Genomic DNA, 24482 nt, shown 5'->3' with positions numbered 1-24482 from the left:
GTTCTAACACACTTCAGAGCTTCCCCTTCACAACTAAAACTTTTCTTTTTTTTGAGACAGAGTCTCACTCTATTGCCTAGGCTGGAGTGCAGTGGCACAATCTCAGCTCACTGTAACCTTTGCCTCCGAGAATCAAGAGATTCTCGTGCCTCAGCCTCCCAAATAGCTGGGGCTACAGGTGTGTGCCACCATGCCTGGCTAATCTTTGGAATTTTAGCAGAGACGGGGTTTTGCCATGTTGGCCAGGCCAGTCTTGAACTCCTGGCCTCAAGTGATTTGCCTGCCTCAGCCTCCCAAAATGCTGGGATCACAGGCGTGAGCCACTGGACCCAGCCTCAACTAAAACTTTAATAGGGGTTTGTTCTGTTGGAAGGGTAGAAAAGGCATTTTTGGCACAAGGAATAAGAAAACCCTTTAAAAGCTCAACATGGAGTTAGGATTCAAGAGATAGCCAGGTGTGGTGGCTCAAGCCTATAATCCCAGCACTTTGGGAGGTTGAGGCGAGTGGATCACTTGAGCCCAGGAGTTGGAGACCAGCCTGGGAAACATAGTGGAACACCATTTCTATAAAAAAATTAAGAATGAGACAGGTGTGGTGGTACACGCCTATAGTCCCAGATACTTGGGAGGCTGAGGTGAGAGGATAGCTTGGGCCCAGGAGGTCGAGGCTGTAGTGAGTCATGATGGCACTACTGCACTCCAGCCTGCACAACAAAATGAGACCCTGTTTCTTAAAAAATAAATAAAACTATTCCAGTACTTCCACAATTCTGTGGCCCAATTATGTTGGGTAAAGGCTATTCAGTTTGATATTGTCTGATTAATATCAAACTGAATAGCCTTTACGCAACATAATCACAAGCTGAGTACCCCAAATCTGAAAATTCAAAACCCAAAATGCTCCAAAATCCAAAACTTTTGAGCACTGGCATGGTGTTGAAAGGAAATACTCATTGAAGTATTTTGGATTTCAGAATTTCAAACCTGGGATGTTCAATCCGCAAGTATAATGCAAATATTCTTAATTCCAGAAGAATCTGAAATCTAAAACACTTCTGGTTCCAAGCATTTTGGCAAAGGGATACTCAATCTGTATTTTTATTTATCTTATTTTATTTATTTATTTGAGATGGGAGTCTCGCTCTGTGGCCCAGGATGGAGTGCGGTGGCACAATCTTGGCTCACTGCAACCTCCACCTTCCAGGTTCAAACAGTTCTCGTGCCTCAGACTCCAGAGTAGCTGGGGTTACAGGTGTGTGCATCCATGCCCAGCTAATTTTTGTTTGTTTGTTTGTTTGTTTTGAGACAGAGTCTTGCTCTGTCACCCAGGCTGGAGTGCAGTGGCGCGACCTCAGCTCACTGTAAGCTCCACCTCCCGGATTCACACCATTCTCCTGCCTCAGCCTCCCGCCATTCTCCTGCCTGAACCTCCTGCGTAGCTAGGACTATAGGCACCTGCTACCATGCCTGGCTAATTTTTTGTTATTTTTAGTAGAGACAGGGTTTCACCGTGTCAGCCAGGATGGTCTTGATCTCCTGACCTCGTGATCTGCCCGCCTCGGCCTCCCAAAGTGCTGGGATTACAGGTGTGAGCCACCATGCCTGGCATGTATTTTTTAAGTATAGCTACTTAACCCATTAAAAATATACCCTTACTATTCTATGGTAAAATTAATTCACAAATCATTATGAGAAAAGCTTTTCATATCAGGAAGTCTAGCACAAATATTTTAACTTCAGTATTTTAGGAAACAGTCTATAGTCTGCTTAAAGTATTTATTATGTATTTGTATTTCCATAATAAGTTCATAATGAAGCAACATTCATTCTATGCTATTAGTCTAGGATCACATGGTAGCTTCCTAGATTCTAGGTGATAATATTTTAGAGTTCTTAGAAATTACATTTGGGTAACTCAGACAGCAAGTTCAAAAATTTATTTTATTTCTTAATCTTCCAACATTGACATCAGACTGTAAGAGAATTCTTTTTAAAGGTTTTTTTTTTTAATTTGTATCCCTCTATTTATTTATTCATTTGAGACCGGGTTATAAGACTGGCTAATTTTTGTATTTTTGGTAGAGACAGGGTCTTGCTACGTTGCCCAGGCTGGTCTCAAACCCCTGGGCTCAAGGGATCCACCCACCTAGGCTTGAAATGTGCTGGGATTACAGGCTTGAGCCACAGCGCCCGCCTGGCTGCGAGCATTCGCATTTTTGTGATGTATCATTACCACCCAATACAGAAGGCATTTGTGATCTCCCTCAGGTCAGATAGTAATAAGGGCTGGGCATGTAAAATGGGTTCCCTCCCATCTCTAGTGCTCTGAAAGGGATGACTGGGCCTCTCTCTCACGTGGATATAATTTCCACATGGCCACCAGGGCTTCTCACATGCTGGCTGGATCCCAAGAAGGGGTGTTCAAAGTATGAGACAGAAATTACAGATCTCTTTAGACTCAATTTTAAAAGTTACACAGTGTCACTTCTACCGCAAACTATTGGTCAAAATACATCACCGGGCCAACGCAGATTCAAGGGGAAAGGTTACAGACTCTACATCTGGATGGGAGTATGGTAAGAACTTTCAGCCCACCACAGGGCCAGAGAGCAGACAATAAGGCACAGCTGGGCTGCCCCGGCACATATGCTTTTTTCACTGTGTGGCTCCCACCACTTTTTTTTTTTTTTTTGGAGACAGAGTCTCACTCTGTCACCAAGGCTGGAATGCAGTGGCACAATCTCAGCTCACTGCAACCTCTGTCTCCCAGGCTCAAGCAATCATCCCACCTCAGCCTCCCAAGGAGACGGGGCTACAGGCGTGTCCCACCAGGCCTGGCTAGTTTTTGTAATTTTTGTAGAGACAGGGTTTTGCCATGTTGTCTAGGCTGGTCTCAAACTCCTGATCTCAACTGATTTGCCCGCCTCAGCCTCCCAAAGTGCTGGGATTACAGGCACAAGCCACCACACCCAGCCCCACCTTTACAAAAGAGCAAGAACTGCATCACAAAGGCATTCCTGGTTGGGCAGGGGCAGTGGGGAATGTACTGACAGACAAAACCCGGATGCTCCTTCAGCAATGGCTTAGGGCAGGGCTTGGCAAACTTTTCCCGCGAAGCGGAAAATAATAACTATTTCAGGCCTTGAGGGCAATACAGTCTCCGTTGCAATTCCGCAGTTGTAGCTGGAAGGCAGTCAGAAAATATGGAAATGAATGGGTGTGGCTGTATTCCAATAAAACTTTATTTATAACAGCAGGCGGTGGGATGGATTTGACCCATGGTCTGTGAGAATAAGCACTGGATTTGGTACTGGAAAACCAGGCCTGGAATTCTGACTTTACTACTCACTACCAGTGTGACCTTGTTTGAGTTTCTTAAAATTTCTGAAGCACGTCCTCCATATCTCAAAAACAGGGATAATGTCATCCATCTCCTAAGGTGGCTCTGGGGAGTGAGGTAATACAGGTGAAAGTGCAGTGCACATCCCCTCATAAGACAAACACGCCTTCACTGCAGTGCAGAGCCTGGAAAACAGCTCAAGGGGCTGTAGGGAAGTCCCACCAGGCAGGACACAAGGGAGTGTCAGGCACTGTTTTCCAACAAAGTGAAGACTTCACTGATGAGAATTATATTAGGCAGCAGCAGCCTAAATAGTCTTTGTTAAAGACCTATCCTTGTTTTGCTTTTTCTCAACAGCATAATACTTTGTTTTAAGGCATACAGATAGCGCTGACACAACCTATTTCACAAACCCTATTTCACACAGAGTAGCATGCATGGTCAGTGAAAAGGAAAATAAAAACCACCAACATGAAGAAGCCTCAGAGGTGCCAGGACTCAAATACAAAGTTTTTCAGAGGGGTAGCAGTATAGTCATGCTGTATTTAAGCTGGTTTTGTAGATTCTGAAATGTTAAAAAATAGTCTCCAAGACAAGCATATTTTTTAATGCTAAAAGTATAACTGGAATTATTAAACATGTGAATGCAAACTTGATTTTTTTTGAAATTGGCCCTAGTAGGAAAAAAAATATTCAAAATTAAGACCTATCCTTAGCCAAAGGAATCAAAAGCACTGAAGCATTTTGTTTGCACCTCCGCTAATACGGCACTCCTTTATAATACCAGTAGTTCACCAAGAGATTGAGAGTTTCACAAGAGTAACAGGCAGCACTGTACTCCTGCTTTTGGAAAATTCCACTTCATCCACAGGAAAGTGGACATGTTAGAAGGTGAGTGACTTGTCCATTGTCAAAATCTTGTCTGCTGTAGGATTCCTGCCACACATATGAGCAGGATCTCTCTCAGCCATGACTCCTCTTGCAATTTCAATGTCCCCTTCTCCCAAATGGGCAGCCTTAGCCAGAAGCAGCTGTCCCAGAGCCTCCACCCGAGACAGCTGCATTCTGGAGGGATGGCGTCAGCAATAGCCTAGAAGGGCGTGGTTTCCCTCCTGAGCCCCAGAGTGAGTGCCAATGGCTGTCATCATTTGAATTGAATATCCGTTTCCAAAATAACCTGGACCATTTCCAAGGCAAAGTACTACTGAATAAAGCTCAAATCCATGCAGATGGGTAGATGGATGGGCTTGTTGCTCCTGATTCATTAGTTAATAAACTGGTATATATTGTTGGTGTTCTGATTCATAAATTAGATGGGAAAGAAGTGAGATGACTTAGCATAACACAAGCCAAAGTGAACATTCCCAAATTCTCTTGTATTTGTACTTGCACGGAATGGAATTCTCACATGATGGCTGGGATTTCTATATTAAGTGTCTCAGGCCAATCTTCTACTAAATAAAGTTCAAGTGGCACTGGGTTCACATGATATTCAGAGCTCTGTAGCAGCTGATTGTTTTCCCCGTATCTCCTGCTTTGGAACTTCAGCTTCAAAGTAGCTCCTTGCCTGCTTTTGCCATGGCCAGGGTCCACTCTGTATCCAGGAGGTGTAAATATGATGAGCTATGAAAAGGCTGACAGACAACAGGGCTGCCTCCCTGGCACTGTGTGTGTGTGTGTGGGTGTGCGTGGGGGGGTGGGGTGTGCATGGGGGGGTGTGCGTGGGGGAGGTGTGCATGGGGGGGTGCGTGTGTGGGTGGGTGTGTGCATGCACGCATGCACAGATGTAGACACACACCCATCACTTGAAAACTTAAGGTCAATGGTTACGTAAGATGTTAACATTAGAGGAAGCTGGGTCAAGGGTGTATGGGAACTCTGCACACTTTTTGTAACTTTTCTATAAATCTAAAATTATACCATAACAAAGAACTTTTTAAAATGCACTTTTAAGTCAGCTTCCAGGCCTGAAGCATACCATTTAGGTTTTCACAGGGTCCTTCAGCATAAGTCATTAAGTCCCTTGGAGGGTCAGTTTATTTAGCCCTAAATGAACCTGATGAGATCCCCAAAAAACTGCAAAACAAACAAACAACAACAACAAAAAAGGCCGGGCGCGGTGGCTCATGCCTGTAATCCCAGCATTTTAGGCGGCCAAGGTGAGCAGATCAACTGAGGTCAGGAGTTCGAGACCAGCCTGGCCAACATGGCGAAACTCCGTTTCTACTAAAAATATAAAAAAAATCAGCCAGGAGTGGTGGCGGGCACATGCAATCCCAGTTACTCAGGAGGCTGAGGCAGGAGAATGACTTGAACCAGGAAGGCGGAGGTTGCAGTGCGTAGAGATCGCACCACTGCACTCCAGCCTGGACAACAAGAGCAAAACTCCGTCTCAAAAAAAAAAAAAAAAAAAGCAGCCAAAAATGACCTGACAAACAGGTGTGATATTAATATGACAACATTCACATTAAGGCTTGTTCCCAATGACAGACTGAGACTATAAACCAGTGAGACTGCTAAGGGACCACGCCTGGAAAAAGAGGCACTCCTCTACCGTTACATTACTCTCCTGTCCCACAGTTTCAAAGCTGCCCCGTCTCTCCTCCCTGCTCCTCAGAACCCAGAGGTCTTGGTATCTGCTATTCCCTCTACCTGGAATCTCCCTTTACCACCCGCCCTCACCCACCACCACCCCCCACCCCCCACCGTGGTGCTGTAGCCATCTCTGTCTTTTTTCATATCTTAACTGACATCTCAACCCCTCGGCATCCCCTTCCTTTATTTTTCTTCTTAGAAGCTATTCCTTCTGATACACTACAATATACTCATTTGTTTATTTCCCCTCTCTCCCAAATAGAATGTAAGCTCCATGTGGATGGAGCTTTTGTGTGTTTTGTTCACTGCTAACAGGATTTCTTGAAAACCTTCTATGGGCTTTCCCCTGTGAGTCTTATTGACATGGTTCTCTGGAATCATTGGGAAAAAAACAGAATGTTTTTTAAAAAGAAAAGACATTTCTTATGCAGGGGGAAAGAAAGAAGTGATTAATATCAAACAAGCACTTTCAGAATTGCTATGTACCTGTAACACTGTCCTCCATGCTTTATTGTATCATTGTCCACACTAAGTATATTACTTTATATAATCTCACTCATTCCTCAATGATCTGTGAAGTCAAAGGAGCAGGCGTTATTATGCCCACTGCACAGAGGAAGAAACTGAAGTACCACAAGCAAACGGTGAAGCCAGAACAAGAATCTAAGTTACCCTATATCCTGCCTAGAAGAGCCTCCATCACAGCTAGCTGTCTCTCTGTAGAAGAATAAAAATACTCTGAAATAAGTCACTTTTAAATTTTTTTCTGGAAAATAAAAAGCTTTCTGAGTTGGATGATTTTTTTAATAGAACACAAATATGAAGGAAAACTATACATGACCTGTCACGTATATTCTTGTAGGAAAATGCACAGAAGTGTCCACGAGGAAGAAAGGAAATCCCCGAGGCCTGCTGATAGGCACAGGGAGAAACAGGCCACAGTTCTCTTTTAGCCACTGTTTTGAAAATTTTATTAGAATTCATAAAGACTATCAAAAAGATAACTGATGAAGACAAGTCATTATCTTTCTAAAATATGGTTAACTCAGGTCCTATCCTGGAGTGGAGAGCAGGGATGGGAATCTCAAAATCTGTATACACACAGAAGCACACTTGACAGGGCCCTGAAGTCCCAGCCTGGGCAACACAAAGAGGCCTCGTCTCTAATAAAAATTTTTTAAAATTAGCCAGACATAGTGGTGCATGCCTATAGTCCCAGCTACTCAGGAAGCTGAGGGGGAGATTCACTTGAGCCTGGGAGGTTGAGGCTACGGCAAGCCATGATCGCACCACTGCACTCCAGCCTGGGCAACAGAACAAGACCCTGTCTCAAAAGGAAAAAAAAAAAGTTCCCTGAAGTCCAAAGCCTACTTATATCATACGTATGTATATTTGTGTGTATACATATACATACAAATATATACACGCATGCATACACACCTGGATTTATTTTAAATTCAGTAAATTAGCACTTTATCTTTAAAAAAATTGCAGCACAGAGCAGATGGTAAAGAGTAAATCTCTTAAGATACACATTTTTTCACATTTCAATATCTCTAAAATTGAATTTTGTCTTATAGCCAATCGTCCTTTACTATGCTTACTTTGTAGCATTTTTTGCTTTCTTAGAGGTACATAAAGCAATGGCGTATCTTACGATCTGTTGTGTGTGGGGGTGGGAGCTCAGCGCAACAATTCAAATGGGCCACCAAACAATGGGCAAGGCCCACAATGGACATTAAAGGGAGATCCCTGCATCAGCCAGGAGGTAGGACAGGTTGACTTTAAAGGTTCCCTCCAGGCCAGGCATGGTGGCTCATGCCTGTAATCCCAGCACTTTGAGAGGCCGAGGCAGGCAGATCGTCCAAGGTCAGGTGTTCAAGACCAGACCAGCCAACATGGTGAAACCTCGTCTCTACCAAAAATACATTAAAAAATAAGCTGGGCGTTGTGGCGGGGGCGCCTGTAATCCCAGCTACTGGGGAGGCTGAGGCAGGAGAATTGCTTGAACCCGGGAGGCAGAGGTTGCAGTGAGCTGAGATCACACCACTGCACTCCAGCCTGGGCAACAAGAGTGAGACTCTGTCTCAAAAAATAAATAAATTAAATTAAATTTAAAAATAAAGGTTCCCTCCAGTCCTCAGTTATCATAATAAAGATGAACATGATAAAATGAAATTTAAAGGCAAAAGCATACTTACAAACAAACCTTGTCTTCGTCAATCTCCACAACTGCCAAGGTACATGAGTATTATCTATATTTTAAAGATGAGGAGGTTCCAAGGAGTATTTTACCCAGAAGCCGGCCACAAGTCTCACTTCCCAATGAAATGCCCACTGTGGCAGAGCAGTAAGAGAAGCAGCAGCCAAACCAGAAGAGCTTAAAGGTGGCAAAAATAACCCAACCAAGGGGCGAAGGGCAAACCTGGGTAGCAGTAAAGGAGGAAATGATATTTGAGTTCAGCTTTACAAGGAAGCTCACTGAATGACATGTTCAGGTTTACAGGCATTTAAAATGAAAACGCCTTTCAGTTGGTTGTATTTTCTGGTTCCTTCAAATACTTAAGAATAAAAGCACAAACTGATTAACATGGTGTGGGCCACGTGTCAGGTGAACCAGGGTGAGTTCTCCAGGTTACAGGACACTTGATGGAGGAGAGACATGTGGCCTGCCCAAGATGCAAATGAGACAGAGCCAACCCCAGAATCTAAGTTCGTCTGCTCCCTTTCTGCTTGGCCACACACAGCAGGTCAGTGCTCGCCTTCCAGCAGGTTCTCCTCAGATCACAAGATGAGAGCAGCAGATACAGCATCACCAGCAAACATAACAAAACCTCCCCAGGAAACTGCAGCCCACTTGTTCTGATCCCAATCGGCCCAGTCACAACTACAGCAAAGGGAATGGGGCCACTGTGATTGGCCTGGACCAATCAATACCCACTGGACGCCTCCTCAACCCCTACTCCAGCATGCTGCAAAGGAGGCTTAAGAATGGAATGAAATCTGGATTCTATTAGGAAAGAAGAAAGTGTGGCAGAGATGGATGTGAATTGGCAATCAATTTCTGTTACTCCCATCATTCACCCTTCATTCCTTCCCTTCTTCCTTCATTCAAGAAGCAGGACCGTGAACCTACTGTCAGTCTTTGTGGAGAAAACAATTGCACAAAACTGGATTCCAGCCCTCCAGGAGCTCATGGTCCATCCATATTTACATAAGAATATTCCATTTTCCTTGGTATCCAAAGTAGCACTGGACAGCCCAGGTGGTCTAAACAGCAAAGAGTAATTTAGAGTGCCTTTAATTACTGCACCTTAAAATGCACCAGTGTCCTAGTTCCCATCTTCATGATCACTGCCAGCCAGGAGGTTGCTGGATCTCAATCGGCCAAAGTGGCAGAAGGTGCCCTTCACCAGGTCCCTGTTCTATTCATGGCAGCTGTGCACGGCTCAGGTTACAGGTTGGTTCAAATCCACAGAAAACTGGCTCCTCTAACTGAGGCAATTTTGGTACTTTACTTTGTCTCTCACACAAGATTTTTATTTTTAAAATCCTAATATTGGAAATAGAAATGTTGAGCTAAAAGGTATTAAGAAGGATGTAGAATAGCCTATTATTACAATCGGGGCAGAAAAAAGGACTGTGAATTCAAAAATATACAAGCACTCAATATTGTATCCTAACATGGCATACATTTAAAGGTTAAGATATGAAAAATGCATACTTTTATGTTGCACTTGGGACAATATTAAAAAGTGGAAATTTTAACCTTTCTTCTAGATTTCTGGGTAAACAAAAGAATGTTTTTAATTTCAAAATTTCTAATAATTCTCCAGGGTAAAATAATCTCTTTAATAATCAGCTAATAACTTTGCTCAATATAATTTTAAAATCAATTATATAAAATATTTCTGCTTCTGTTGAAATGTTTTTAACATCTGTTATCCAATAATTATTTCAATAATAATTTCAAAAGTCAACAAGCACATGAAAAAATGCTCAACATCATTAACCATCAGGAAAATGCAAATCAAAACCATAATGAGATACCACTTCATACCCACAAGGATTTCTATAATCAAAAAGACAGATAATAACAAGCATTGGCAAGGACATGGACAAACCAGAACCCTCACTCACTGCTGGTGGGAATGTAAAATAGCGCAGCCACTTTGGAAAACAGTCTGGCAATTTATCAAAATGTTAAATACAGAGTTACCACATGATCTAGCAATTCCTCTCATAGGTATCAACATAAAGAAATGAAAACAAATGTCCACAATAAAAAAAAGTCTACAGATGTTCACAGCAACATTATTCACAATAGCCAAAAAGTGGAAATAATCCAAAAGTTTACCAACTAATGAAAGGATAAACTAAATATTAAAAATACATAACAATGGAATATTATACAGCAATAATAAGGAATGAAGTACTGATACCTACTACAACATGGGTGAACTCTGAAAACGTTATGCTAAGTGAAAAAAGCCAGTCACAAAGGACTACATATTGTATGATTCCATGTATAACAAATGTCCAAAAGAGGAAAGTCTATACAAACATAAAGTAGATTAGTAGTTGCCTGGGGCTAGAGGATTGGGGGAAATGGGGAGTAACTGCTAATGGATACAGGGTTTCTTTTGCGGGTGAAGAAAGTGTTCTAAAATTTATTGTGGATGGCCGGGCACAGTGGCTCACATCTATAATCTCAGCACTTTGGCAGGCGAGGAAGGAGGATCGCTTGAAGCCAGGAGTTCAAGACCAGCCTTGGCAACATAAGGAGACTCCATCTTTACAAAAAAATTAAAAAATTAGCAGAGCATGGTGGCACACGCCTGTGATCTCAGCTACTCAGGAAGCTGATATGGGAGGATTGCCTGGGCCCAGGAGGTCGAGGCTGCAGTAAGCCATGATCACACCATTGCATTCCAGCTTGGGCAACAGAGCAAGAGAACCTGTCTCAACAAATAAGATTTGCTGTGGTGATGTTGCACAACTCTGTAAACACTGAAAACCATTGAATTCCATACTTTAGATGTGACAACTGAATGGTATGTTAATCATATCTCAATAAAGCTGTTATTTTAACAAAGCTTTTTAAAAAGTCTATGGGAGAGAGTTTTATAAAGAGAGAGAGTTTTACGGGCAGTTTCTTTGGGGTGTCAGAACTATTTTGTATCCTTGGGGTGGTTACATGACTCTATACATGTGTTAAAATTCAGGCTGGGTGCAGTGGCTCACTCTTGTAATCCCAGCACTTTGGGAGGCCAAGGAGGACAGACCACTTGAGGTCAGGAGTTTGAGGCCAGCCTGGCCAACATGGCGAAACCCTGTCTCTACTAAAAATACAAAAATTAGCTGGGTATGATGGCACATGCCTGTAAATCCAGCTACTATGGAGGCTGAGACAGGAGAATTTCCTGAACCTGGAAGGCAGAGATTGCAGTAAGCCAGATCGCGCCACTGTATTCCAGCCTGGGTGACAGAGTGAGACTCTGTCTCAAAAAAAAAAAAAAAAAAAAAAAAAAAAAAAAAATCTAGTTTGCTGTAGATCATTTACAAATTAAAAAAAAATTTAAGTCTACAGCTTTGGGCATACACAGCTGTATTATTAACAAAAGTTCAGAGATAATCATGGCAATGGTTAGTTTGTAAAATGGAAAATGATTCAACTTTCACTGACTTAGTTATGTTTGCTTCAGGGAATAAAAAAGTTATTTCCACTTTTCACCATACATACAATTTCTACTATATATAAAATAACTTCAAAAATATTTCTACCATGCTGGGAACAAGTACGATGGTGGTAAAAGAGGAGAAGGCTGTTTTTATAGAAAACAGCTGAGTCTTCCAATGGAATGAATGCTTCTTCCAGGCACCAGGCTAGGTAGAAATGTGAAGTCCTTGGTTCTTGGTCTGGCTATATAACTGATTTGCTGGTGAGGTGACCTGGGGTGAGTTATTTATGATTCTCCTGCTTAAACTCACCTACGGCTTCCTATCATTGCTAAAATAAAACCCAAGCTCCTGATTCTGGCTTGCAAGGCTCTCAAGGTGCACCCTGTACCTGCCTCTCCTTGCCTCTGCCTACCAGGCTGGGGCACCAGATGAGGAAGGACAGCAGGGTGGACCATGAAACCAGCCAGGCCTGACTCTCCAGCCAAAGGGGGTGCTGAAGGAGGTCACTCACTTCAAAAGTATTTATTGATTATGTTGACAAAGTGCTTAGCACAGTACTTAGCACATAAGGAGCCCTGAATATTTCGTTATTCAGGTAAATAATGAAATTCATTTTTCATTGAGTATGCACAGATACATACTCAAATGTTAGCTTGCTTTATAAGGACAGGTCGCTGTCTACCCTGAATCCTCAACACCCCAGTGGTAATTAGCAGGTGCTCACTAAATCTACTGACTCCACGATGTTGGTCTTAGGAAACAGGGAAGATTCAGGGAGAGTCAGAGTGTTTAGAGAAATTCCAATTAAACTCAAAAGAGACCTTTGTGCATCCAAGTATCTTTTGTCACAGCTTAAGCAAGCATCAGAGTAGGGCAGACTGATTGCAGGGCCAGAGATTTTGGTCCCAATTGTGTGGGATGAGCAGTCAATCCATCAAAGGTAACAGAAAAAGCAAAGGTAGCCCTCGGCACGTGGGGTTTCATTTTCCCTTGGTGAGGGAGGGGAAAGGCGGTATGATGGACTTGGGATACTCCTTCACCCGGGCAGTTCAGGCCTACTCTACTTGACCAGCCCAGGTCAGGCAGGGGCAGCGTGGACTTGGCTCGGGCAGGTCCTGGGTGTGGGTGCCAACCCAGCTTTTGCCAGGTCCTCTGGGCCTAGATCCTGGGGGCGGGGTGAGGAGGCAGTGGCTTCCATAATACTGATTTCTCCAGCCTACACCAGGGTCCAGGAGGAAAGAAGCCCATACCACAGAATGGGGCCCTACACAAAGTATCCCCAGCTCCCCCAAGAAGGCTGACTCCCCACCCCATCCCCAGAACAGTCATTTGCCCTAAGGGTCCTCTTTTACCCTCCCCCTTTGCCATCCCCCGCCCCCCCCCCCCACCCGACTCTGAATGGGACTGCAGTCTTTTCTCTCTGAGTGCCTTTTTTTCTGGAGGCAGGGAGGGGGAGGCGGTCCATTATCCACCTTTTCTTTTTCTTCACACGGAAAATGAGCTCGGCTATCACACTACACGAACTGTAAACATTAGAGAAAAGTCAGCCAGACAGAGTCCATAAGGTCCACTAGCTTACACAAACGGGAAAGAAAAGACTTCACTGTGTGGGCCACTGCCTGGGAGAAGCAAGATCTCATAAAAACAGCCATTGTTCAGAAGGAAAGAATCAGACAGCTTTAGTCCAGGCAGCACATGAAAAAGCAACATTCAGCCAGCTTGCAGAGTCAGGAAATCTAAATGGCAATGGAGTAGCCCAGTCAGTCAGCTCCCCCTGTCTTTCCCCTTAACAGAGGTCCAAAATGTGCCAGTAGCACCAACAACTCCAAATGCCTTGGGAAAATGACTTCTTCGGGGACTACGCATTCAGCCACCAGTTTTCTCAGAGCTGGGGACCTCTGATAGCCACTGACATCCTGGAGCCCTTACCACCTCAGTCCTTAACACTGTGGTGTCACGGGACTCTTTCATAATGGGGGAGGGGGCAATACAGAACAATGCATACAATGGGATCCCAACTAGATTAAATGCACATCCTGCATGCACACAGAATAAAGATTAGAAGGAAATCCCCAGTATGCCAACTGTTATCACTGGCATCCACACGAGACCCAGTTACTTCTTCACATGACGCAGAGTAGCCCAAGTTATTTTTTTCCTTCAAGACTGAATCATGCTTTTTGCTCCAATTGGCTACTTTCCTAAATCAGAGGCTGAATCTGCTCAACAATAGCATAAGAGGCCTTAAGCTGGAGGGTTATTTCCCTGAGGAAGCCTCAGATAAGACTACTGTTCCCTCCTTCCAGGCTATGTGGGAGCAACCCCCAAACCCAGAAGGACTGACTTTTGCACCAGTCTACAAGATCATCTAAACCAGTAAAGAGCATCAGAATCTCCTGAAGGGCTTGTTAGAACACAGATTGCTGGGCCCCCATGCCTGAGTTTCTGAGGTCTGAAGACCCAAGAATTTGCATTTCTGACAAGCTCCCAGTGATGCTGACGGTACTGGTTGGGGACTATAGTGAGGGCTACTGCTGAAAGAGCAAGTAATGTCAAGCCACATAATCCCTAAGATATGACACAATGGACTGTTCAGCACAGGGCTGATGCCATGTCCCTTAGAGACCCGCCCAGGTGGTGCTTCTTTAATTTATAATCATCTTTAACTACTTTGTGAGTTTGGACTTCACAGATTACTCCTTGCTTCTGATGGAGTCTGCAGATTTAATCATTCAAAAGCTGGTCACATGCTAAGCTGTCATATCACAAAGGCACAGGGTGGCTTCCAAATGAGTCACGTCACTGGGTAGTAGAGAAGATAGGGCTCAAAGAGGAATAAGTTTAAGAAGGAAAAAAATCTCAGCCACACACATCTGGATAGCCACCAGGACTGTATTCTGGGAATTGGGGGTGAAGCAGCCAGACCTCCATTGTCTTTCATGTCTTAAAAGATAAAGGTCTCTCAGTCTCCCAGATCACTCAGAATTCTCCATCCTATCTTTCTCATAATGGCTCATTCAAGTGCAAGTAGCAAAGGGCTAGCCATCTCCTCTGAGCCTTTGAAGGCCAGTTCACTCAGGTCGTGGGCCATCGAATAGCCACTCAGCTGCTCAAGCTGGTCCATATGGAGAAAGGACAGCCAAAGCAAGAAAATAAGCTGCAGATGTTGGCCCAGGATTTAGAGAAAGCTGCAGATAAAGGGGAAGTCCCTGCTAAGAGCATCTGACCTTCCAACAGGGTTAATACCATCCCCACCTTGGTGGAAAATGAGAAGGCATGGATCCACTGGGTTGGCTGTCTTCCTCCCTCTCTTGGGCATAGAATGGAGGCTCCCTACTGAATTATCAAAGGAAACGCCATAGAAAAATCTGCACCACCCTCACCTTCACTGGTTAATTCAGACAACTAAGAGCTCTCTCTGGCTAGAATGGTGAAAGCTATCAGGATCTACAACAATGACAGATATGATGAGATCTGCACTGCTGGGGAGGCAATGCCCTGGGCCACAAACCCAAGGCTTGCACAGCCAAGCCCACCTGGAAAAGACAAAGGCCAAACAAGTTGCCATGAAACTGGATTAAAAATTAAATGAATGCCAGGCGCGGCAGCTCAAGCCCATAATCCCTGCACTTTGGGAGACCAAGGCAGGTAGACTGCTTGTGCCCAGGAGTTCAAGACCAGCCTGGGAAACATGGCGAGACCCAACTGCTACAAAAAATAATAAAATTTAAAATTTTTAAGAATTAAATGTATAATGTGAGCTCTTCTGCACATAAAAATAAAAATTCTCCTTCAAAATAAGAAAGTGAACCAGAGGGTCTCCGACTTTATTTCCTTAATTCCCACCAAAGTGACCATAAAGGAAGTTTTTAAAAGATATAATAATGACCAGCCTGGCCAACATGGTGAAACCCCGTCTCTACTAAAAATACAAAAATTAGCTGGGCGCGGTGGCACAGGCCTGTAATCCCAGCTACTCAGAAGGCTGAGGCAGGAGAATTGCTTGAACCCAGGAAGTGGAGGTTGCAGTGAGCTGAGATAGCACTACTGTACTCCAACCTGGGCAATAGAGCAAGACTCCATCTCAAAAAAAATAAAAATTAAAAATAAGATATAATAAACCCACAAGGACAAAGAAAACGGAAAAAAGGATGAAAATTTTTGACAGATTTTTGGAAGATGAAAAAACAGCTAGACAAAGCCTAACTGCCTTAATGGGACAAGGCCAAGATTACCTGCAGGGGTCCCAAGGAAAAGCGATGAACTCTAAGGGGGTTCAGGGCTTGTAGGAACTGGGCTTTGGAGGGTAGTAAGGGAGAATCAGGCTTATAGCTAAAAACGGGAGGACTGACCCAAGGTTCATATAAATGAGCACTGATACCTCTCCAGCTCCTGCAGGTCCTCACCTTCCTGAACGCCCGGGCAATGGTCCCTTCTCCACTGCAGCAGAAACTGATCAGAGAAAGTGAACACACAAGCTTAGGCTCTGGAACACCAGGCACAAATGAAAGTAGGATTGAGAATGGATTGTAAATCTATACTTAGCAGTGTAAGACCCCCGACTCTCACACCCCCCCACCCTCAGTTCCCTTCCCCAACTCGACTGACAAAGCATCATCAGCCAAGCAGGGGACTGGAGGGCTCCCCTCTGGGCAAACCAACCAGTCCAAGGGAAAAAACTACCAATACCCAAACAGTCCCCGGTGAAAAAGGCCAAGTGTCTTATTGTTCATAACACAGCCCTACTGTCAACAAGCCCTGCTCTGCACATAGAGCTCCAGCCAGCTCCCTCAAATGAGGACAACCAAAGACCACTAGACACCTGAGGAAAGCCTCCAACTTGCAGACAGACACCAAAGCAAACAGAGAAAGAAGCCAGGAAACAGAGACGATGCATAGAACAGAAGAAAACTTCCAAAAATCATCATTAATGCCTTCAGAGAGAGAAGGCACTGTATCCAGAAAATAAGACTAGGACACTCATTCCAAAAAAGTTAGGAGGGGCTTTTGAAAGCTACAAAGAAAGCTTTTGAAAATTAAAGAATAGTAGAAATAAGAAAAATAAAAGGACTAAGGATAAAGCTGAGGAAATACCAAACAAATGAAAGAATGAGAATTAAGAATAGAGAATGAAGAAAAACAGAGGATCAATTCCAGAGGATATCCAGATTGAGAAAACAGAGGGACAATGAGAGGAGGAAATTATCAAAGAAATGATACAAGAAACCTTCCTAGAAATAAAGAATATAAACTTCTAGATGGAAAGGTTCATACTAAGAAATGGGTGATGGAAAAAGTAAGTAAATAAATAAATAAATAATTTTAAAAAATAGATGGAAAGGGCCCACTGAGTGCCTGGCATAATGAATTTTAAAAGTACCACCCAGTACCCCAAAATTTAGATATTTCTAAAAGCTTTCAGAGAAAAAAAAAATGAATGACATAAAAAAGGAAGAGGAACCAAGATGGCAAAAGACTTCTTAACAACAGGTGGTTAAAAGAACTATGAGGGAAAATTATTTCAACCTAGAATTCCATATCCATTTCAACCAGCAGTCAAGCATGGGAGCAGAATAAAAATAACATCCCTGCTGGGTGCGGTGGTTCATGCCTGCAAGGCCAAAGTGAGTGGATCACTTGAGTCCAGGAGTTCAAGACCAGCCTGGGCAACATGGTGAAACTCCGTTTCTACTAAAAACCCCAAAAAATACCTGGGCATGATGGTGGGCACCTGTAATCCCAACTATTCAAAAGGCTGATGCAGAAGGATTGCTTGAGGCCACGAGGTTGAGACTGCAGTGAGCTCAACATAGTGGGGAACAGAGTGACACCCTGTCTCAGAAGATAAAAATAATAATGTCCCATGTACAAGGATATTATTTAGAATGACAGAGGCAGGCCAGGCACAGTGGCTCACATCTGTAATCCCAGCACTTTGGGAGGCTGAGGCAAGTGGATTGCTTTGAGCTCATGAGCTCAAGACCAGCCTGGGCAACATGGGGAAACCCCGTCTCTACTAAAAATACAAAAATTGTTGTGGGGTGTGCTGGTGTGCGCCTGTGGTCCCAGCTACTCAGGAAGCTGAGATGGGAGGATCCCTTGAGCCCAGGGTGGAGGTTGCAGTGAGCTGAGATCGCACCACTGCACTCCAGTCTAGGTGACAGACAAAGACACTGTCTCAAAAAAAAAAAAAAAGAAAAGAACTGTAGAGGAAAAAAAGAACTGTAACCGAAGAAAAAGAAAAAGTTACAAGTTAGAAACAGTGACTTTTCGGGAACAAGACTAAGAGTAGAGCAGGTGGAACACAGAATAGAATCCACAGTGGTTTTCATTGACCTTTGAGTAGCATTTGCCTTTTTTAAAACCACATACATGGAATTAGCAGGAAATACATTGAACTGAGAGCCATGCTGACATTACTCTTGGGCACTGTGGTGGCTCATGCCTGTAATCCCAAAACTTTAGTTTTGTGCACTGTGAGTATGCACAAAAGTAAAGTTATTTCAGACCCGTGGTAAACTCTACAGGTTCAACGGCCTATCTCTCAGTAGATAAAATGTAAGGAAAAGAAAGGCCTGGAGGGGGACCTGCAGATTGAAAAAGACAACATACATATCAAGTTCTTAAGAACAGGCAAAATTTTATGTTGCCTAGAGATTATGATAAAAAGATGGCAGTTACTCTTGGAGTGGAGGAGAGAGGGGTTACTAAGGAAGCTGGCAAAGTTCTATTTTCTGACCTGGATGTTTATTGTAGAAGGATTTATCTTATAATTCACCATCCTATTACTGTTTTGTGTGGCTTTGTGCATGTGATTTTACCAAAAAAAAAAAAAAAAAGAAAAGAAACTATGGGGGGGAGTGTTTTAAAAAGCTATGTGCATATGATTGCCTTGATGAAAATGAATTATTTAAAAATAAAGTCAGGCAGACGTAACACACACAGAAGTTTCTCTGGCAAGATGTTCCCTGCTACCAACACTAGGTATTTCTGAGTAGTACAATTTGGGATGGTTTCTTACTTTCATCTCTTTCCTAAATAATTGGAACCTTTAAAATTGGTTGGAACACAAAAATAGTCATTATTTTACATTAAAGTTAACTATAGGTATCTATGGGTGCCAGAGTTTCCATCTTCCTTCTTTTGTCCTGACTTTACCTAATTAATGCCAAACCTAGAAGTGTGGGACAGAAATTAGAAAAAGTAAATCTTAAGTCCACTTTTCTACTTTTCAGATCTGCTAAAGGATCAGCTTTTATGGCCAGATGTGGTGGCTTACGCCTGTAATCCCAACACTGGGAGGCTAAGGCAGGAATGTGGCTTAAAGTCAGGAGTTCAAGACCAGCCTGGGAAACAAAGCAAGACCCCATCTCTACAAAAAGTTAAAAAAAAAAAAAAATCACCCGGGCACAGTGGTGTGTACCTGTAGTCCCAGCTTCTTGGAAGGCTGAGGTGGGAGGATCACTTGAGCCCAGGAGTTCAAGGCTGCAGTGAGCTATGATCATGCCACTACAATCCAGCCTGGGCGACAGATTTAAAAAAAAAAAAAAAAAAAAAAAAAGATCAGTTTTTGTGAGAGTATTTATACTCCCCTTGTCTCCATTAAACATATGAAGACAATTCAGGTACACAATAACTATGCATTTTTAGAACAGCTTTTCCTTTTAAAAAGTACAAGCTAATACCTTGGCCATGTTTAACTTAAAGAATGAATTTAAATAGTAAGTATTAAAATGTTATCCTAAATTAGATAAATCTATGAGTATCTTCCATTCTAATCAGTTTCCATAACCCCTTAAAAACTAAATGAAATTGAGGCCATCCTAATTTAAAAAATAATAATTTCAGGGCACTCAGGAAATAAATACCAAAGCTCATGAAATCCAGAATCAATAACCAAAAAGCACGCACATATTGAAAAGGAAGAGAAAACTACTCAATTAGCACCATTAGTGCTTAGGGGTTTATGATGGGGAATTAGTCTTAGGGGGAAAAATTTACATTTCTTCCACCCAAAGCAAGTACTATAAATTCTAGCAGACACTGTGCCTTCTAGTCTACATCAGACTTGACAATGGTAAACATAGTGATTAATCTTCTCCCTTCAGAAGGGCTCCAAGCATTCTGTAGACATCCTCTTAATTCCATCTTCCCAGCAGTGGGGATACTAAAGTCAGAGGAACTCTAGGCACCAGCTCATTTATCCTCTGGCTTGTTAGATGAGCCAATAAATCCCTCCAGAAGGGAAGCCCAGGCAGCCAGGCGAGATGGCCAAAGGGCCATCGAAACCCTCATTCCTCTAACTCTACCCTGCCGTAGAGACGTGGCCCCTATTCCCAACCTTCCCAGGTTATGGCCTCCTAAGGGTCTCTTAGGAGTTCCTGAACGGTGTAAAAATTATGTGTGGTCTTTTTTTTTTTTTTAAATGTTCTCTACAGAAGATTTAAATCAACAAAAAGATATAAAATTGCAAAGGTTGCTCAGTCAAAACCATGATTATCAAGGAAGCAAAGCTTCTGGTTCCAAATTTGGTAATCTGCTACCCATGTTAAGTTTCCAGTTTTTATCTGGTTGCCCTTCAGTTTAGGGACCACTGGCCCAGAACACACATTACTGGCTTAGATACCGGCCTGACATAGGAAAGAGAGTGGTAGGGTGAAGAGAGTCATTCTCTGCAGGCTCAGAGATGTGTAGGCACAAGGACTCCCGCTATGTAATATACTGAATTGCTCAATTATCCAAAGTCCACATAAGCAAAAAGCTCAAATAAACAGATTTTTCAAACTGTCTGTATATGCTAATAGGCAATTATAGCAATGGCCCTGGAATATAGGCCTGATTCAGAACTCAGTAACTCTGAATAAAGCACATTATAAAGTGTTTCAATTTACTAAACACAGCAGCCTGATATCTAACCATCCCAGGTAAAAGAGTCTTGGCTAAGGGTGGTAGCCAGATGGCACTGCCTCAGAATCACAGAATAACTGCTGGTGGGGATAAGAGCTGGACTCCCCAGTCTGGGTCCTGGATCCCAACCACAGGTGTAAATTCAAGTCCAGCAAATGCCCCCTACTCCCATCTCTCCAAAGTCTGTACAAGGTGTACTCAGCAGCCAGAGCTTACGCATTAGCATTAGGCAAAGGGTGTTTTCCCACCACCTAGGATCGGATCCATGCTGACCCACCACCTCACAGAGAACAATGGGTTTATGTTTTTTGGGGTTTTTTGAGGCTGAGTCTTGCTCTGTCGCCCAAGCTAGAGTGTAGTGGCATGATCTGGGCTCACTGCAACCTCTGCCTCCTGGGTTCAAGAGATTCTCCTGCCTCAGCCTCCCTAGTAGCTGGGATTACAGGCACGCGCCACTATGCCTGGCTAATTTTTGTACTTTTAGTAGAGATGGGGTTTCGTCATGTTGGCCAGGCTGGTCTCAAACTCCTGACCTCAGGTGATCTGCCCACCTCAGCCTCCCAAAGTGCTGGGATTATAGGCGTGAGTCACCATGCCCGGCCTGGGTTTATGGTTTAAATGAGTAATAATGTGATTCCTCCTTCAAAATTTTTACCCTCAAATAGTTCCCACAGTAGGTTTCCTTTAACAGAAGCATGAGTCCAGCTTCTAAATACAGTTAAAACAAACAAACAAAAAATACATGTTTGTAGAGAAGTAATGCACTATGAAATGCATCCTCAGGAGCATACATTTATGGTAACAATAGATTTCTCCTTTGAAAAATTTTAATCACCACATTTCAAAATTGCCACATCCAATTTCCTGATTAGGAAAAAAAACAAATCTTTAAAAAAACACACAAGCATCAGCTGGCAAAGTTTTTATTTTCTTAAGCACATTGGTTTTGTAGCTCTAGCTTCCAAAACTAAGGTAACATAAAAATCCAGAGAAATCGTGTAATTGAAGTAAAAAAAAACAGAGCACAGGAAAGAAAACAGAGAAAATTGGCAGCAGACTCGTGGCTGTTTCAGTGGTTGATCTTTGCCATGAAATCTTCTTAATAACAAATAGAGCATTTATTAATAAGCATTTAACCTGTAGCACCTCCCCTTCTCCCCATGCAGATGGAGGAGGCTCCCACATCGGCTCTACCAGGGAGCTCAAGAAACAGCCACACACAGCTGGCAAGTGGCACAGACAGCCTTGAACTTGAGCCTTCTGGCTCCAGAGCCCAACCTCTGCAAATCCAATTTGTTGACTCTACTTTCTAGGAAAGTTGCCCTCTTAAACAGAGAAAAGTCCTTCCATTTAACACAACCAATATTCAAATGGCCTTCAAGAAAATACAATGGGCTAGGCACAATGGCTCACTTCTGTATTCCCAGCACTTTGGGAGACCGAGGCAAGTGGATCTCTTGAGCTCAGGAGTTCGAGACCAGCCCGGGTAGCACGGTGAAACCCTGTCTCTACCAAGAATACAAAAAATTAGCCAAGTGTGGTGGTGTGCACCTGTGGTTCCAGCTACTAGGGAGGTTGAGGTGGGAGGATTGCCTGAGCCTGACAGGCAGAGGTTGCAGTGAGCTGTGATTGTGCCACTGCACTCCAGCCTGGGCGACAGAGCAAGACCCTGTTTCAAAAAATAAATAAATAAAATGAAAAGCAGATGGGGATGAAAAGGACAGACTGGACACTGAGGCAGAACTGAAAAATTGATTTAAAATTCCAAAATCAGTTTTAAGATCCAAAATCAAACAATCCAGTGCCTTGGGCCACCTGAAAGCTGGGCTTCTGCCCAGGCCCAGGGCCCACCAGCAGATGACAAACACATGAGTTCCCATTTTCAAAATAGTAAACTTGACCACAGAAATAATTTTGTTTTATTTATAATAAATTTTAAAGTAATTTTAAAAAAAAAGGTGGCTTCCTGCCAACTGAAAGGTATAGAAGGCCGTCTGTCAAGTAATCAAGTGCTCTTAAGAGACCAAAGCATGGTCCTCTTTCAAACCTGTGCCCCCTCTGGGGAGTTGGGGTGGCGGGGGGGTGGGGTGGGTCCTGTCATCCTAACAGGCCACTGGGAGAACCGGAAATACCAAGAAACAAAGCCAGGGACTGGCTCAGAAATGGCCAAACGCTGCAGACACAGCCTGCCTGAGACCATGAAAACCAGGATCCCCTTTACTCCCCCCGCCCCCCCCCCAGCTCCATGGAGAAAACAAGACACAGGGTCTGGAGCTGGAAAAACACACTGGCGAAAAGCCAAAGACAACATCCATCAGAAGCTGGAGAGGTCTGCTCACAGGGCTGGGGGTAGGGGTGGAGGGGATGAGGTCAGAGCAGGGACAAAGGATTCCCAAGACAAAAGGAGAGAGGGAGGGCAGGGGTCAGGAGGAGGGGACTAGGAGGAGAAAAGGCAAAGAGACAAGGAGGAGGGAAAGAAGAGGGTGAGGGAAGCAGCAAGAGGGAGTGTGAGTCGGGGAGGGGATAGGAAAGAGAGGAATGCTGGACAAAAAGGAGGAGACGGGTAAGAGGACAAGGGAAGAAAGAACGGGAACGGGCAATGTGAGAGGGAGGAGAAGGAGGGCAAGAGGGGACAGTGACAAGCAGAGACAGACCCATGAGACAGCTGAGTGCCTTGAAATGGTTGCTAAGCTGCTGCCCATAAGCCCACAATAACAAAGCTTAAGCTTGGAGATGTCTGCAGATATACTAATCCTTACCCTTAAAGGGAGAGGAAAGATCAGCAAGAACTCTAAAGTCAGAGTCCCCAGGATCAAACTCCACAGAAGGATCCTTCCCAAAGTATTCTCTACAAAGGAGGCCAACGTCCTTTGGTAATAAGAATCTGAGATCATTCTTTTTTAAAGACGAGATGAGGAGATAAGTATAATTAGCCACACGTCCAGACCATGACAGGTCATGGTCTACTTAAATATTAGAGAATGTAATCAGAGCAGTGAGTACAACAGATGACCCGCCCCAGAGAGAGGAAGAGCTAGTGCACCCTCTACATTAAGAACTGTATTCCATCCTGGAGCATACACTGTGAAGCAATCGTTTTCATGGGTTCACTGAAAAACAATTTGCAAGCAGAAGAAATTTCTACTCAGAAGTCTCTATGTCATTGAAAAAAATAAAAGTTCCAGGCTGGGCGCGGTGGCTCACACCTGTAATCCCAGCACTTTGGGAGGCCAAGGCGGGCAGATCACTTGAGACCAAGAGTTCAAGACCAACCTGGCCAACATGGCAAAACCCCATCTCTACAAAAATACAAAAATTAGCCAGGTATGGTGGTGCATGCCTGTAATTTCAGCTACTCTGGAGGCTAAGGCATGAGAATCGCTTGAACCCAGGAGGCAGAGGCCACAGTGAACTGAGACTGCACCACTGCACTCCAGCCTGGGCAACAAAGTGAGACCCTGTCTCAAGACAATAATAATAATAAAATAATAATAATCTAAAAATCATTTATGATATACCATATTAATAAAAGGACACAACATATATGACCATCTCAATAGATGCAGAAAAAGGATTTGACAAAATTCAACACCCTTTCATGATAAAAACATTCAACAAACTAGAAACAGGCCGAGCTCGATGGCTCACGCCTGTAATCCCAGCACTTTGGGAGGTCAAGGTGGGAGGATCACCTGAAGTCAGGAGTTTGAGACCAGCCTGGCCAACATGGCGAAACCCCGTCACTACTGAAAATACAAAAATTACCTAGGCACAGTGGCTCATGCCTGTAATTCCAGCACTTTGGGAGGCCGAGGCAAGCGGATCACCTGAGGTTGGGAGTTCAAGACCAGCCTGACCAACATGGAAAAACCTTGTCTCTACTAAAAATACAAAAGTAGCTGGGTGTGGTGACACGTGCCTGCAATCCCAGACTCAGGAGGCTAAGGCAGGAGAATCG

The 24482-nt window shown here is 43.6% G+C and overlaps 1 protein-coding gene and 1 pseudogene across 4 annotated transcripts in view, besides 5 other annotated features; one reads left to right on the top strand and one right to left on the bottom strand.

Annotated features, from left to right (window-relative positions):
- TRAK1 (trafficking kinesin protein 1) overlaps positions 1–24482 on the bottom strand; it is a 212798-nt gene that overhangs the window by 159512 nt on the left and 28804 nt on the right. The gene's annotated exons all lie outside the window — the stretch shown is intronic.
- Positions 4377–4596: a silencer, noted in NCBI's record as "fragment chr3:42103275-42103494 (GRCh37/hg19 assembly coordinates)". NCBI's record gives its function as "represses an EF-1alpha promoter that drives an FKBP-Casp9 reporter gene in an ReSE screen in K562 erythroleukemia cells {active_cell/tissue: K562}" and the evidence as "EXISTENCE:reporter gene assay evidence [ECO:0000049][PMID:32094911]".
- Positions 8747–8856: an enhancer, noted in NCBI's record as "active region_19731". NCBI's record gives its function as "activates an Ori minimal core promoter by ATAC-STARR-seq in GM12878 lymphoblastoid cells {active_cell/tissue: GM12878}" and the evidence as "EXISTENCE:reporter gene assay evidence [ECO:0000049][PMID:35858748]".
- Positions 14356–14857: an enhancer, noted in NCBI's record as "NANOG hESC enhancer chr3:42093014-42093515 (GRCh37/hg19 assembly coordinates)". NCBI's record gives its function as "activates a minimal SCP1, AML or CMV promoter by ChIP-STARR-seq in naive H9 embryonic stem cells {active_cell/tissue: H9 hESC(naive)}" and the evidence as "EXISTENCE:reporter gene assay evidence [ECO:0000049][PMID:30033119]".
- On the top strand, positions 14685–15198 carry RPL7AP83 (ribosomal protein L7a pseudogene 83; annotated as a pseudogene).
- Positions 22728–23022: an enhancer, noted in NCBI's record as "tiled region #14156; HepG2 Activating DNase unmatched - State 2:TssF". NCBI's record gives its function as "activates a minimal TATA promoter and a strong SV40 promoter by Sharpr-MPRA in HepG2 cells {active_cell/tissue: HepG2}" and the evidence as "EXISTENCE:reporter gene assay evidence [ECO:0000049][PMID:27701403]".
- Positions 23249–23518: an enhancer, noted in NCBI's record as "active region_19730". NCBI's record gives its function as "activates an Ori minimal core promoter by ATAC-STARR-seq in GM12878 lymphoblastoid cells {active_cell/tissue: GM12878}" and the evidence as "EXISTENCE:reporter gene assay evidence [ECO:0000049][PMID:35858748]".

The sequence above is a fragment of the Homo sapiens genome, chromosome 3, assembly GCF_000001405.40.
Source record: "Homo sapiens chromosome 3, GRCh38.p14 Primary Assembly".
Taxonomy (NCBI): domain Eukaryota; kingdom Metazoa; phylum Chordata; class Mammalia; order Primates; family Hominidae; genus Homo; species Homo sapiens.
Note: the sequence above shows the minus strand (reverse complement) of the source record. Positions and strands in the feature narration are given on the sequence as shown.